This window comes from Homo sapiens, chromosome 6, assembly GCF_000001405.40.
Source record: "Homo sapiens chromosome 6, GRCh38.p14 Primary Assembly".
In the NCBI taxonomy this organism is placed as follows: domain Eukaryota; kingdom Metazoa; phylum Chordata; class Mammalia; order Primates; family Hominidae; genus Homo; species Homo sapiens.
This window is the reverse complement of record NC_000006.12, coordinates 11,796,521-11,812,571: the sequence shown is the minus strand read 5'-3', so window position 1 is coordinate 11,812,571 and position 16,051 is coordinate 11,796,521. Positions and strand designations below refer to the sequence as shown.

General features: G+C 42.5%; 2 long non-coding RNA genes across 2 annotated transcripts; one reads left to right on the top strand and one right to left on the bottom strand.

Moving 5' to 3' along the window:
- The first annotated feature begins 1,305 nt into the window (after positions 1 to 1,305).
- On the top strand, positions 1,306 to 5,932 carry LOC107986567 (uncharacterized). Its single transcript, XR_001743970.2, has 3 exons — positions 1,306 to 1,895; positions 3,290 to 3,396; positions 4,313 to 5,932. It is a non-coding gene; the product is annotated as an uncharacterized LOC107986567 (long non-coding RNA).
- Positions 1,509 to 2,488, bottom strand: LOC124901257 (uncharacterized). Its single transcript, XR_007059451.1, has 2 exons — positions 1,823 to 2,488; positions 1,509 to 1,729 (listed from the first exon to the last, which is right to left on the bottom strand). It is a non-coding gene; the product is annotated as an uncharacterized LOC124901257 (long non-coding RNA).
- Positions 5,933 to 16,051: the final 10,119 nt, after the last annotated feature.

The following is a 16,051-nucleotide window of genomic DNA, read 5'->3' as shown; positions in this document are numbered from 1 at the left end:
AATCTAATGAATCCATTCCACTATTCATAACTCATTCTACCACTTGGATTCTCCATTCTAAATCTCTGGGTCTTCCATTGACACCTTCTAGTCCAAATCTATGCTGATAGAAAGATGGATTCTCTCCAAATGTCTACTATGTGCTTGCTACTCCTGGGCAAGTTGGGACCATCAAGGCTGATCATTCAATCTAAGTAGAAAGCTTGTATTAGAGACTCCATTCAAGGAACCAAATCTCAAGATTGTCACAAATCTGTGCAACATGTAAGCCCTATGCAGAAATCTGGAGACATTTAGCATTTCCCTATATTGGAAGAAATGCTTACCATAAGATACAAAAGTAAGTAATTTTTTTATTTTAAAAAATGAATATAATTTGTATTATGCCAAAAGACAAATCATATGGTTGTCCCTTACTCCAGTAAAATCTCTAGACTGTTACAGAATGCCCAGCTCTGTTTCTGCAAGAGTAATAAGAGTTCTCCTTGGGTTGAATGGTCACGCTTGGTGGTCCCAACTCACCCAAGAGCAGCAAGCACATATTAGGCATTCAGCAATTATTTGTTGAATGGATAATGACATGATTGGAAAAGAAGTGATAGATAGATTAACTGGATTTCCCAAGGCCCCTCTTCTGCCCCCACTCCCACCTGAAACACAAATACCTACCATTTGAGTTGCTTTCACTTACCCAAGAGACTATCAGCTGCTCCAGATTTTGGGGAGTTTTAGACCAAAAGCTTAGTAAATATTTCCTAAATCAAAACCACACAGGCAGAGTTCATTCAGTCTACTAATTGAGAACTATTGCTTTCCATAGTGAGACACGCAGCAGTTTTAAGAAAGAAATAGGCCTTGAGAGGAAAATATTTGTAAAGGGAACAAAAGCAAATGCTGTTGTGTTTGCCAATGACATCTTGGAGAACCGGTGGGTATTAAAAGAGGGAAAACAAAGAGGCCTGATATTATTATATGCCTTTCTTTCAAGTACACACATACATACACCAAACTCAGCCCAGCCCTTTTTAGGGGGAATGTTTCTGGCAGAAATAATTACTCTATACTTAGTGCTGCTGGAGTTGTGGCCCCACGGCGAAACAGGAGGTACAAGGAAATGAGGTGGAGCTGCTGGGGAAAACGAATGGGCAATGAGCAATTTACAAAGGGCTCGGTTTGGTCTACTTGGAGAGAGGAGTGTATATTTTAGAATATCACATGTAATTAACACCGGAAGAGGGGAATGAAATGGTTCACACCAGTGATTCCAGGGAGCTTTTGTATGAAACAGACGAAGGGGAAAAAACCTGATTAGGCACTGGCTTTAAGTACAGTTTCCTTGTATTTCCTTTTTCCTCTTTACCATATAATAACATAGCTTAAAATTAGTTCTGACAGCTAATCAGAATGAGTGGCTCTTTCTTTTCCTGGAGTGGTTAACAAGTACTGTGCATTGTGCCAACACTGCACACTGCTCAATGGATATAAGAAGAGAAGAACGAATTAGTTACTTGGTGGCATGCAGCTCTGCATCTCTCTTCAGTTGAATCAGAGGGATCCTGTGGTACCAGGGTCTGTGATGTGTCCGAGGGCAGTGTGGGAATGTTGTCATCCAGCACTGCTACATGGGCGACTCCTCCTCCCTGCTGGCCCGAATGCTTACCTCCCAGCCGGCTCCAATGCCTCCCACTCACAGTTACTTCGGCTTCTGATGGTGCACTGGAAATCTGTACTGTAAAGATGGAGTGTTGAACTAAATTTAGGCTGTTGAATGATAAAGCAGGAAGTAGCTCAAGACAGAAATACAAAATCAAATCAAACTCACTCTTCAAGAGAAGAAGCTGGGACCCAGGAGGATGTCTCAGAACAGGACAAATATTTGCATGTGATCGGCAGAGGTGAGGCATGGTCATCCAGGTGAGCGGGCAGGGGCTCCCCTCCACAAGGAGTCTCCTTTACTTGGTTGAAGAGAGTTTGTTAGTCTTACGGAGTTGCTTTTCTAGTTTGTAATGCAAAAGGATGATCATTGCTAAACAAGGATGTGATAGAATGGAGTGGAGTTAAAGAGCTCTAAGGCTTCCCAAATGAAAACTGTACAAAGGCACACAATGATTGCCCCACCAACTAAAAATAATAGCAGCAGCAAAAGTGGCCCAAAGGTGGGATCTGGGCCAAGCACAGCCCACAGAATTCCAAAGTCAGCCCTAGAGTTGCATCATGTTTAAAATCCCAAGTATCTCTGAGACTGTGGCTCCCAACATGTCCCCTCTGAGGAAGGGACCCAGGGGAAGGGTTCTGGGCTTAACAGGAAAACATGGCAAGCTGAGGCCTGGAATGTGAGTGGGCAGAGCCTCCTAAGTGGAGAGGAGCCATGTCCAAGCCAACAAGCTGGGCAGCCTGATTATGCCCCAGTAGGCTCTTGGCTGGCCTCCAGGAAGTTCTCCCTTTTACGTCAGCTGTTGAGGGAGGAGTAGGCACTCCCATTCTCAAGGCCAGTTCCAGAGGCAAGTGAGCCCTTGAAATTGGAATGAGACTTCTTTAGTGCAGACAGACGTCCTAGCATTTCAGAACTGTGTTTTATTGCATCCATGCAAGATGGTCAAAGAGGAAAAAGAAACCTTTAAAATTGCTTTAAAAATGCACAGGCTATATTTTGGCTAGATGGATACTTGTCCTGCTTTTTATTTGTTGCAATAAAATACACACAACATAAAACATATTTTAGTCATTTTAGGATATGCAGTTCAGTGGCATCAAGTTAACCCATAATATTCATAAGCATCACTGTCAACTAGTTCCAGGACACTTTCATTAACGTAAAAGAGAACTTGTTATCCATTAGCAGTCACTCTCCATTCCCACGTCCCCCCCAGCCCCTGGCAACCATGAATCTACTTTCTGTCTCTATGGATTTGCCTGTTTTGGATATTTCATTTAAGTGGAATCATACAGTATGTAGCCCTTTGTGTCTGACTTCTTTCACTTAGCATAATGTTTCTAAGATTCACAGAAAATGCAGCATGTATCAGTATTTCATTCCTTTAATGGTTGAATAATATTTCTTTTTAAGTAGATAACTCATTTTGTATATCCATTCATCAGTAAATGGACATTTGAGTTGTTTATGCCTTTTGGAAGTTGTGAATAGTGTTGTTGTAAATATTCATGTAAAGATTTTTGTTTGATTGTCTTTTTTCAGTTATTTTGAGTATATACCTAGGAGTGGAATTGCTGGGTTATATGATAATTCTGTGTTTAACTTATTAATGAACTCCCAAACTGTTTTCCACAGAGGCTGTACCGTTGTACACACTCACCAGTGGTACATGAGGATTCCAATTTCCCCAAATCCTTGCCAACATGGTGTTTTCTGCATTCTTAATTATCATTGCCATCCTAGTGAGTATGAAGTGGTGTCCATTCTGGGTTTGATTTGCATTCCCCTAATGACTCAGGATGCTGAGCATCTTTTCACGTGCTTTTTGGCTATTTGTATATCTTCTTTGGAGAAATGACTTTTCACGTCCTTTGCCCATTCTTAAATTGGATTTGTTGTTGTTGTTGTTGTTGTTGTTGTCAGAGGTTTTTTGTTTGTTTGTTTTGTTTTGTGTGTGTGTGTGTGTGTGTGTGTGTGTGTGTGTGTGTGTGGCTTTTTTTTTTTTTTGACGGAGTCTCGCTCTGTTGCCAGGCTGGAGTGCAGTGGCGCCATCTCAGCTCACTGCAACCTCCGCCTCCTGGGTTCAAGCGCTTCTTCTGCCTCAGCCTCCCAAGGAGATGGGACTACAGGCATGCACCACCACGCCCAGCTAATTTTTGTATTTTTAGTAGAGATGGGGTTTCACCATTTTGGCCAGGATGGTCTTGATGTCTTGATCTCGTGATCCGCCCACCTCGGCCTCCCAAAGTGCTGGGATTACAGGTGTGGGCCACCTCACCCGGCCGAGTTCTTTTTGTATATTCTGGATACTGGAACCTTACCAGACATGAGATTTATAAATATCCTCTCTCATTCTGTAGGTTATGTATTTACTGTCTTGATTGTCCTGTTTTTAAAGAGAACATACTAAACAAAGCACTTAGGTGCCATTGGGAAAAGAATACCAAACAGGATAGTAACAGGCATAAAAGTTTTGAGCTAAGGGAAGTCTCCTCACTGTCATTTGTTTTCTCTCCTGGCTATCAATAGACAGCTCATATCCAAAGCTTCCTTGAACTAACCATAGTGTGTTGGGTCGTTCTTGCACTGCTATAAAGAAATACCTGAGGCTGGGTAATTTATAAAGAAACGATGTTTAATTGGCTTATGGTTCTGCAGGCTACACAAGAATGATGCTGACGTCACCTGGCTTCGGGGAGGCCTCTGGAAGCTTACAATCATGGTGGAAGGAGAAGTGCAAGCAGGCCAAAGGAGAGGCAAGAGAAGGAAACTGCCACACACGTTTAAATGACCAGATCTCACAAGAACTCAGTTACGATTGCGAGGCAGTACCAAGGGGAGGGCGCTAAGCCATTCATGAGAAATCCACCCCCATGATCCAGTCACCTCCCACCAGGCCCCACAGCCAATATTGCGCATCACATTTCAACATGAGATTTAGGCAGGGACACACATCCAAACTATGTCATATAGCAACAATACATTGTGTGAAGACTCTATGTGCCAGCCACGGCTCATAGGTATGGGGATTTAGTAACACATGCCTTATGTGTATTTGTCTCCTGTTCTTGAAGATACCTTGCAATGTAAGGGTTATTATTTCTATTGTATAGATGAGGAAACTGAGAAGCAGATATGTTAATGAGTGGACAAAGACCTCACTGCTCACAAGTGGCAGAGTCAGGACCCAAACTCAGGTCTGTCTGACTTGAAAGCCAGAACTTATCCTACTCACTCACCAGTTTGGTACATTTTGCTCTGGGGTCCTTAGGGCCTCCATGAGTCCATTTGGGGCCTTTCTGGCCATAGAGAGGAGGACCAACAGAGGGTTTGGGTCTCTGGGGCCAGCACACACTTTAATTAGGGCAACCCTGCTTCGATCTCTTTTCTAATCTGTGACTTTTGAATATGATTGTGTTTGGGCAGGAAAAAAAAGAGAGGTTTCTGGTGCTTTAAAACATGTTTGAAATCCACTGCGAAATCATGTTACTTCATGGAAGAAAATCCCAAAGCTCTCGCAGCCTCTTGTAAAATAGAGGTTTCATTAAAGGATGGCTTTTTCTAAGCCTTATAGATAGAAACGTGGTATTGCATTTGTACACACTTGCAGTCACACATGTGCACAAATACACACACACACAACCTCCCTCCACTCCCCAATTCCTGCGCAGTCCAATTCCCTACTCCAGACAGAGGATGCCAGCTCCAGGGGAAGTTGCCTCTGAACGCCCACTCACCAGAAAAAAAAGGTGGCTCTTGCCAGCAATTGCACCCACACTTCCCAGCAGTCCTGGCTGTTGCCATTCATTGGTCAGGTATGATGCTGCCTGCTCACCTTTGACAGCCTTCCCAGCAGCCAACCAGCCCAGAGAGTCTCCAAACCAGAGCCACCATTCTTGCGAAGTGAGTTCCCACCCACCCGAGAGGGAGATCCTTAGCTCCTCATCATCGCCAGTCATGATGATGAGATACTCTGGAAGACATCCATTCTGTGGAAACCCCACAAGGTGAGGCCACGTCTAAATAGCTTACAGGTGAGTGTCCTTCCTCCCTGCCTGACCACTGGCTTGGATGGAGAGGCGGTTGCATGGCCAGGTGAGGGGGCCGCGGGGCTGTGCACTCCCACATCACATTTCTGATTTTCCAGACAGCATGTCTCAGCAGGGTGCTGATCTGGGCCTGGAAATCCCCGTCCAGAGTGTTGATCTCTGTCTTGAGCTCTTTGCATTTCCCTTGTTAGGAGATTAGGGCTGTCCGACAAGTTCGTCGGAGGTTATTGCAGGCGTCTGAGGTGCCAGTGTGGGAGGGTGAACAGTTGCCGAGAGGGTGAGGGGCTTTGAAGTGGGTGGGCAGGAAGGTGGATTTGTGAAGTTTCTCAGAACTGCAACTTGGTTTTCTGAAAATTTATCCTGTGCGCCAATAAATTGTTGCCAGATGTCTGCTCCAATACAGTTCTAGCGTGAGATCACATGAAGACATTTAATGCCATTAACTGCTTTGGTCAGAAATGAGGAAGGGGTGCTGGGGAGGCTTCCTGCCCACTAGGTAAATTGGGATCCAAGAGCAGAAAGCCTTTTTTTTCTTCCATTCCTAGTTTTCTATAGCTTAAACACATATAGGACATTTTATTTCATTTTGCTCTCAAACATTACCCAACTCACCGTGGCGATTTATTAACAAACTCCTAAGGTAGACAGTGATTCCTGGACCCTTAGGCCCTGACAATGACAAAAGGGGCTCACAACCTGCAGAAAGAAACTGCCGAACAGGCAGGTGCCAGCAAGTTGTGTTTTCCAAATCATTGGCAGGTGCTTCTCATCTCTTAACCCCTGCCAGTGGCTTGCCTGTGAACCACTCCTTCTCTAATGTAGCCTAAACTTTCCCAAGTTTCCAACCACTGAAGTCACTGGTAGATTCACCACCCAATATGGGGCTCCTGCTACTGCAGGCCACTGGTAAGATACAGATAGCATTGCAGACTCAGAGGCTGAGGGATCTCCCTCTGAAGACCTAGATAATGCAAATCCAATGAGACGCAGATGAGAGCAAGCCGGGCTTTGTCCTGCCCTGTGCTGCCTTGGTGCACACACCCACGCCTGGCTACGCCCGACTCACCTATCCAGATGAGCAGCGGCAGCCCCAGGCAGAGGTCATTTGCAATCTTCCACAGCTGTGGAACATTGAATGCCATGAAGTTTAGAAAACGCCCCTTTCTCTCTCTCACCTATTTTCCTTTAGAAGCCTAGGGGTCCAATTGTAATTGAGTTTTTTCTTTACAATCAGGGAGTTTTTTCTTTACAATCTTTACCCTGATACAGAATAAAACGAAGGGTTTTAGCACAGCCCAGCCTGCATGGTTTCCCAGCATCTCAGGTATTTACACATGTGGTGGTGCCTAGTCTTTTGGTGGCGTGATCCAGCAGGGAGTCATGGAGGAGGGGAGAGGACACCTCCCCCGCCCCCATATCCCCACACTATTGGCTGCTCCCCCTGCCACTCAGCAAAGCCTGACAACCCTCTGCTACCCTCGCCACAGCTCCTCTTCACTTGCCAGGGATGAAATCAGCCCACAGGCACCTAGTGTGAACCCAAACGTATCTGAGACAGATCTCAATCCGTTCAGAAAGTTTATTTTGCCAAGTTTAAGGATGCACCCTTGACACAGCCTCAGGAGGTCCTGACATGTTCCCAAGGTAGTCAGGGCACCCACGCCTGGTTTTATACATTTTGGGGAGACATGAAACATCAATCAATATGTGTAAGGTGTACATCGGTTTGGTCCGGAAGGGCGGGACAAGTTGAAGCAGGGGAGGGGGCTTCCAGGGCATAGGTAGCTAAAAGACAAATGGTTGCATTCTTTTGAGTCTCTGATTAGCCTTTCACTGAATACACAATTTACCTGTGAGAGGAGAAGAGAGGAATAATCACTATGCCTTAGTTTGGAAACAACAGGGCAAAGGAAGCCATCAGATATGCATTTGTCTCACTTGGGCAGAGGGATGACTTTGAGGTCCGTCTGTCCTTTGTCCACAAGGAATTTTCTTGTTAGCGAATCATGAAGCAGTTATCTCATTGTAGCTATCTTATTTAGGACGAAGTGGGAGGAAGGTCCCAGCTTGACTTCCCTTTGGCTTACTCATTGTGGGCTCCTGAGATTTATTTTCCTTTCACACTGACAAACACTGAAAACCATCCCAAGACACAAGAAAGGGGAAAATGAGTTTTCCTGGGGGTACATGGAAGCCCCAGAAGGAAGGAGACAGCAGGGCGAAGTGGCAGAGCGGTCCATGACAGTAGGTCAAGGCACTGAAAGTAAACCATCTATATCATGATTTTTTGGAATGTCCTAGCTGTTAGGTCTTCCTATTGAACCAAACTGACAAATCTCAGGGATCCTGGGCTAGAAATCCCATGGATTTGATTTAGAATGATCTCCAGAAAACTGTTCCCTGAGGACTAACAAGATTTCAACCGGCAGCAAATAATAGATTTACACTTGAGGGTATGCCCTTCACGGAATCAGGAAGCTAGAACTGCCCCCCGCTCACATCGTGTGAGTCTCCCTAAAGCTTTGCTGCAGCTCTGAACTTTCGTAACACAGGCCGCAGGCATCATTTCACAATGATCACAGAGCACAATTGTATACCATGTGTTAGACATATAAAATATGGTTAGTGCAAACATGCTCACTAAATTAACTATGGCTTGCCAAATTAATTCCTGTAAGCAAAGAGAAAGAAATTCAATTTTCTAACCAATTATGCTTATTGATTTCTCAAGGTTAGGCCTCAAAGAAAAATGCAGAAAGGGTAAAAATTGCCATAGGACTTTATGAAGAAACTGTATTTGAAATATGATTTTATTTCTACTTCAGCAATAACTGTCATTCACTTTATCTATCAGTAGATCTGGGGTCTCACTTTTAGGAGAAGGTGTATTGTGTGTTCACACTGGGATACAGACAGATCTGGGTATGTTTAGGATCTGAGGAATAGGCTTACAGATTTGGGGTCTTAAGAGCTTTTTAGTAAATAAATTATCCAACTCCTCCCCACAACCCAAATTAAGTAACTCATCTGTAGCAAGTAGCAAAATGTACACCTGGAAGTCTGTCTTGTGATCCCTACATTCTTTCGGTGCCACAGTAATATGTTTACCTTGTGATCATAATTCACACTTGACCTAAATCTCATTGTGAACCAGGAACCAAGATGTCCATTTTAAAACATTCTTTTTTGAGGGGGCACAAATGGCACATTTGTTAACAAGACACGAATTTAGAAATAATTCTTTGGAGGTGTAAGATTGAAAAGGTGTAATTTATAAAGTGTCATTTAATTTATTAAAATATGTGCATTCAAAACAAACTTCCACTTTGAGAGAGACAAAAGGAAAACCAATTCTGTTTAGCACCTTTGGTAGAAACCCGGCCTCATGTTTGCACACACCCACTCCCGCACCCACACACCCTCCTTCCATTGCCCTATCCCTACCAATTCTGTGACAAAGGTCAAGCTTTTGAGCATGGTCACCATGTAATAAAGTCTGGACTATTTCACCCAATGCCAAGGTTGCTTTGGCAACCACCATTCTCATGCCTCCAATATTTCCTGGGGTATAAGCACAGCCTGACCCCAGACGGCCTGTGTGGGTGGTGCTGTGGGGGAGGGGTCTTATTACAAATGGTGATTATTGTCCCCTCCGCAGACCTATTAAATCAGAATCTCTTGGGGAGGGATCAGAAATCTCATTTTGTGTTTTTTCTTGTTGTTGTTATTGTTGAGACAGAGTCTTGCTCTTTCACCCAGGCTGGAGTGCTGTGGTGTTATCTCAGCTCACTGCAGTTTCAAGCTCCTGGGCTCAAGTGATCTTACCTCAGCCTTCTGAGTAGCTGGGACTCCAGGTATGTACCACCATGCTCGGCTAATTTTAAAAATTAATTTTTTTTTTTTTTTTTTGCAAAGATGGGATCTCACTATATTGCTCAGGCTGGTCTTAAACTCCCATCCTCAAGTGATCCTCCTGCCTCGGTCTCCAAAGTGCTGGGATTATAGGTGTGAGCCACCGCACCTGGCTAAGAATCCTGTTTTTTTTTTTAACAAGTTCTCTAAGTAATTCTTCTGCACAATAATGTTTGGTAACCACTTCCAGAAGATTGCAAATAAATTGATTTGTAAAGGAACTGGACCCAAGGCCTTGACTTCAGGCTCATATTTATCTCAGCAACTGGGCTGTAGTCTCTACCACCATCCTCCAACAGCCCAATGACAAGAAAAAGAAATGCTCAAAAATGTGATTAAATGGGAAGCAACAGAATAGGTGAAAGAAAAATCCGAGTAACAAATGCTAGACTGCTGAAAGTGGAATGGTTTTTAACTCTCCTCAGTGACTCAAAGACATCCAAGCCATCATTACTTGCAGAGCCGTTCTGGTTTGGGTAACCAGTAGTATTGACATACATATATACTTTAATGTGGATGCTGACCTAAGTCAAATGAACCATGAGAACAGCAAAATGAAGCAAAATAAAAAGTAACAGTGGGATTCTTCTTCAAATAAATATGCCTTATTAATGTATGGATTGTCAGTAATTACCAATAAATATATAAATATAGGGGACACAGCTCGAAATTTTTTACTGATAAGGGTGCATAGTCAAAAGTATTCAGGACTTTGATAGTGGAGATCGATTTGAAAGGTAAAAAAGTTAATTACAATATGGTGCTAATATATGGTCATACATGACCAATCTTAGAAGATATCTGTGTTTTAATAGAAAATGAGGCTTAGTCTGAAGGAATCCATCTTCGGTGGTGAATTTTGGGCTCTCTGGTTGGCAGGTAGATGAGCTATGAGGCAGAGAAGCTTTTACCAGGATAATTATATCCAGTAAGAAACTTCTAGTGGTTCTTAACCACACCCTTGGCTGGGATCAGGAATTCAAGACAGTTATGATTTTTCAGTGGTCACCCAATCACCTTTCCTTCTCCAGTGGGATTCAAAATGCAGTCAAGTCAGTTACTGGTGGGTTCTGCAGGTAGTGTGAGGACAAGTTTATTATAGAATGCATTACTGTAGTAGAATGAATCCATTTCATTATAGAACGCACATTTTCATGTACATTTAAAGGACACTATTACATTTAGGTTACCTTCCTTCCCCAAAAAGTTTCAGAGAAGTTTATTCCTCTTTATATTTTGTGTAACTTTATAAATTACATAAGGAATAGAGCACATGACTTGTATTAATCTAAAAATACATATACACACAGGATAGTGCAACACAGCAGAACATGTCTGCGACATTCACTTTCTTAACCCCCCACAGAAGAACTTTCTGAGTAAATGGAAATAATGTTGTTCTCTAGTGCATGAACATTAAATCCAACAAAGTCGGGTTATTTTTCCACACTGATATGTGTGTTTTTTGGCATTCATATATATATACACACATACATATATATGTATGTATGTATATGTATATATAGTATATATGTATATATAGCATATATATGTATATATAGTATATATGTATATATAGCATATATATGTATATATAGTATATATGTATATATATGTGTGTGTGTATATATATGTGTGTGCGTGTGTGTGTGTGTGTGTGTGTGTGTGTGTGTGTATTGTGCGAGATCCAAGAACGCTGTCTTAGGGCCTGGATTGGGACCCCTTTCCAGTAACAACCTGGTAATCGCCCCCACTGCACTCAGCCTGGGCAGCAGAGTGAAAACCTGTCTGAAAAAAAAAATGTATTTGAATGGACACTTCCACAAAGATGATATATGGATGGCAAATAAATACATGCGAAAAATATTTTTTTCTTTTCTTGAGACAGGGTCTCACTCTGTTTTTCAGGCTGGAGTGTAGCAGTGCAATCTCAGCTCACTGCAGCCTCGACCTCCGCAGCTTCAGCCATCCTCTCACCTCAGCCTTCTGAGTAGCTGGGACTACAGGTGCATACCACCATGCCCAGTTAATTTTTAATTTTTTTTTGAGAGATGGGGTCTCACTATGTTGCCCAAGCTGGTCTTAAATTCTTGGGCTCAAGTGATCCACCTGGCTTAACCTCCTAAAGTGCTAGGATTACAGGCATAAGCCACTGCACCCGGCTGCTAAAATGTTAAACATGATTAGTCATTAGGGAAATGCAAATTAAAACCAAAGTGTAATACCACTACACATCTATTAGAATAGCTTAAAAAAAAAACACAAAAACCAACAAACCCAAGTTCTGGCAAGAATGCAAAGTGACTGGAATGCTCATATAATGTAGTAGCCATACAGAACAATACAGTCTCTTTGGGAAACAATTTGGCAGTCTCAAATAAATTTAAACATTTATCATAAAACCCAGAAATCCCACTCCTAGGTATTTACCCAAGAGAAATGAAAATTTATAGCTGGGGATGCTGGTGTGTACCTGTAGTCCCAACTACTCAGGAGGCTGAGGTGGGAGAATTGCTTGAGTCCAGGAGTTCTGGATCAGCCTGAGCAACATAGTGAGACCAGTCCCTGTCCCCAAAACAATTTTTTAAAAGAGAAAATCTATGTTTATAGCAGCTTTGTTCATAAATGAGAAAAATTGGAAAAAAACCCAGATGTACCTAAATCAGAGCATAACTAATATGTGGTACATCCATCAGTGAAGTGTTATTTAGCAATAAAAAGGAAATGACTATTGATGTATAGAGCATCATGGACATGTATCAATTGTCTTATGCTAAATGAAAGAAGCTAAACTCAAAACCTTCATACTTTATGTTTCCATTTATATATTTTGGGAAAGTTAAAACTATAGGGACAGGGACAGGGGAGGTGGCTCATGCCTGTAATCCCCACACTTTGGGAGGCCAAGGTGGGAAGCTCACTTGAGGCCAGGAGTTGGAGATCATCCTGGGCAAGATGGTAACGGTGAGACCCCAAATCTACAAAAAAGTTTTTTTTTTGTTTGTTTGTTTTTTGGTTTTTTAAATTAGCTGGGCATGTTGGCACAAGCCTGTAGTTCCAGCTACTCAGTTGGCCAAAGCAGGAGAATTGCTTGAGCCCAGGAGTTTGAGGCTGCAGTGAGCTGTGATCGTACAACTGAATTCCAGCCTGGATAAGAGAGTGAGACCCCATCTCTAAAATAAAAAAATTCATAATAAAAAATAAAAACTATGGGGATAGAAAACAGATCAGTAGTTGCCAGGGACAGGGCCTGGGGAAAGTTTGGCTATAACTGGGCCCAGGGAACTGTGGCTGAGGGAACTGTTTTACATCTTATGAGACAGAGTTTTGCTCTTGTTGCCCAGGCTGGAGTGCAGTGGTGCTATCTTGGCTCACTGCAGCATCCGCCTCCCGGGTTCAGGCAATTCTCCTGCCTCAGACTCCCGAGTAGCTGGGATTACAGGTGCCCACCACCACTCCCAGCTAATTTTTTGTATTTTTTTAATAGAGACGGGGTTTTGCCATGTCAGCCAGGCTTGTCTTGAACTCCTGGCCTCGGGTAATCCACCCGCCTCAGCCTCCCAAAGTGTTGGGATTACAGGCGTGAGCCACCTTGCCCGGCACGGCTCGGCTTTTTACTGAGATTTTACATAGACTACTTCACTTGTAAGGGTCAACCCTGTGGTCTCACCAATTCAATAATTTTTAGAAAACATTTATTTGTACTTTGCTTGGGAAGGAAAGCTCAGTTATTTACCTATCTCTTCATTTCCTTTTGAATCTACAGTGTAGCTGCTACATGTCTATTTCATGCTTCCAAAAATGCCAAATGTATTTTGAAAAGGGATCCAGTTTAGGGTGATCAAATGTCTTAGTTTGCCCAGAACAGTTCCGCTTTTAGTGCTAAAACTCTCACATTCCAAGGAACCCCTCTATCCTGGGTAAACCGGGATGGTTGAGGTAGCCACTAGCCCCATGGGGCTGTTTAAGTCTCCAAATTTTAAAATAGAATAAAATTAAAACTTTAGTTTCTCTGTTGCATTAGCCACATTTCAAGGGCTCCATGACTACACGTGAGCACCTCATGGGACAACGGAGAGACAGAAATTTCCATCATTGCAGACGGTTCTGTTGGATAGTGCTGAGCTAGAGGGTATTTCTGGTAATCGCCTAGAACTAACATCCTTTAAAACAGTGCCCTGGTCAAGTGTTAAGCAATCTCATGTGATGTGGCTGGCACCTCAGTGAATGCACAGAGCGTACTGGGTCAGCAAAGCCGCAGTGAAAACTTTTGTCTTTTAGAGTTTGCATATCCTGATGCATCAGGCTTCTGGGACTATGTCCTCATCTTCTTAGAGCCCAGGAATTTATAAACCGTTGTTGGCATTTAGTGGAAATTGGGGACATGGCAGGAGAAATATTTAACATGACAGCAAGAAAAGATAATTTGGCTCTTTTAAACTGGGCATGAGGCATGAGGGTCACACTAATTTTGTTCCCATTTATAGATTTTTTTTCCTTGACATGCAGCATAGCAGAGAGGATCAAATTGAGTCAAACTGAGTTAGAGCTAAAGGAGCTCAGGCACAAGGAAAACCACCTTTGGAATGAACAGCTTTTAAGTCCATTTCATCCCTCACCCAAACAATGGGCTATAAAGTTGGATGGGAACTACAAAGTGGTCACAGTCATAGGGAGATGTTTGGCAACATCTCTCCTCCCCCAGGGCAAAGGCAAATTAGAAACAGAGACGGAGACAAACTGCTTGTCTGTTTAAAGATTCAGTGCTGAAGGATGTAATTGTGAGCATAGGGGTTTATCTGTTTCATAACATGTTATTGAAGACCTGCAGAATTCTGTCCTTGCTCTTCAGTCATTCACAGTCTAGTGGGGACTCTAACGTATTTACTAATTTTAAAAAATATAAGATTTAATGTAGCCAATGACGATTTATGAAGATAGCAATGATAATGATGATGGTGATAGTGATGGTGGTGATGATGATAATAAGTAACATTTATTGGGCGCTTTCCAGGTGTCAAGCTCTATTCTAAGTGCTTTACATGAAGAAGTACAAGACAATACTCTGGGAATAGAGTTGCTAGAGGGATCCTCAAGTGAAAATACAGCATTCTATTTTTCAAGATTTCTCAGAAATGCAGTATATAAACAAAGCAAAATCCTTTTATAAGTCATTTAGAGAAATAGCACAGTAGAGCCATTTCGGCAATAAATTTTATTTTTTTAAATGACCTTTTTATTTTGGAATAATTTTAGATTTATAGAACAGTTGCAAAGATAGTACAGAGAGTCCCCATATGATAATGGATTTTTGAGTCAGACAGCCATGGCCTTAAGTCCCAGTTCTGCTGTTTATCCACTGTGCGTCCTTGGACCAGTTATTTAAACACTCATATCCTCAGATGTGGCTTCCTTGATTATAATATAGCACAATAACCCTTGCTTTAGAGGGTTGTAGGAAACAAAAAGTGAGAGAATGTGTGTAAAGTGCGTGCACATACTTAAGCCATATTGACAGGCCTAATAAACATTAGTACTTATTTTTATTTATATAGATGGTATATTTGTTATTAAAAAATAAAATAATATGTTACAATAATTTAAAATGGGCTGATGTTTACTAATTACACACACACATTCCTTCTCTCTCCACCACCCTGCCTCAAAGAGACAGGTAATGATAATTCACCAACTTGCGACTTTAGGTCAACTGCAGTCGCTCTTTTCAATTCCTAAGAAATTGCAGGGGCCAGTGGGAAATTCTGAGTTGTTACAGTCTTAATGGAAAGCCCCAGGTCAAGAGTGAAGACTTTTCTTCAGTTTAAAAGCTAATGTTGGCCTTAAGACAACTGTGAAATATGTTTGGAAATTGTTCTCACCAAATGTTTTCTGGAAAGAATTCCGGCTGCTAGCAATTGAAAGCCTAGTGATAGATTTAGCACCTCGGCCATGCTGAAGAAACACTGCAGAAGTTGTTCCGGCAAACACATTTTCTAGCAATGGTGTACTTGTTGTGGGCCACATGGGCATTCTGGCCAGGTTGTGGCTGTGAGGACAGACATTCTCCAGGTGCTTCCGATCCTAAAACCTAATGCTTACTGAGCGCTTATGACCTCAGAGCTTCTGTCTTTAGTACTCCACGAGCACTGTCTCCTCCAATCCACACAGCAATGCTGTAAGTTGTGTATTATTATCATCATCCTCATTTCGTAGTTGAGGAAACTGAGACACAGAAAGTTTCATGAACATGCCCATGGCCACACGGTTGGGAACAAGTGAAGCCAGGGTTTGTTTGTTTGTTTGTTTGTTTGTTTGTTTTGTAGAGATGGAGTCGCTCTGTCACCCAGGCTGGAATGCAGTGGCGTGATCTCGGCTCACTGCAACCTCCACCTCCCGGGTTCAAGCAATTCTCCTGCCTCAGCCTCCTGAGTACCTG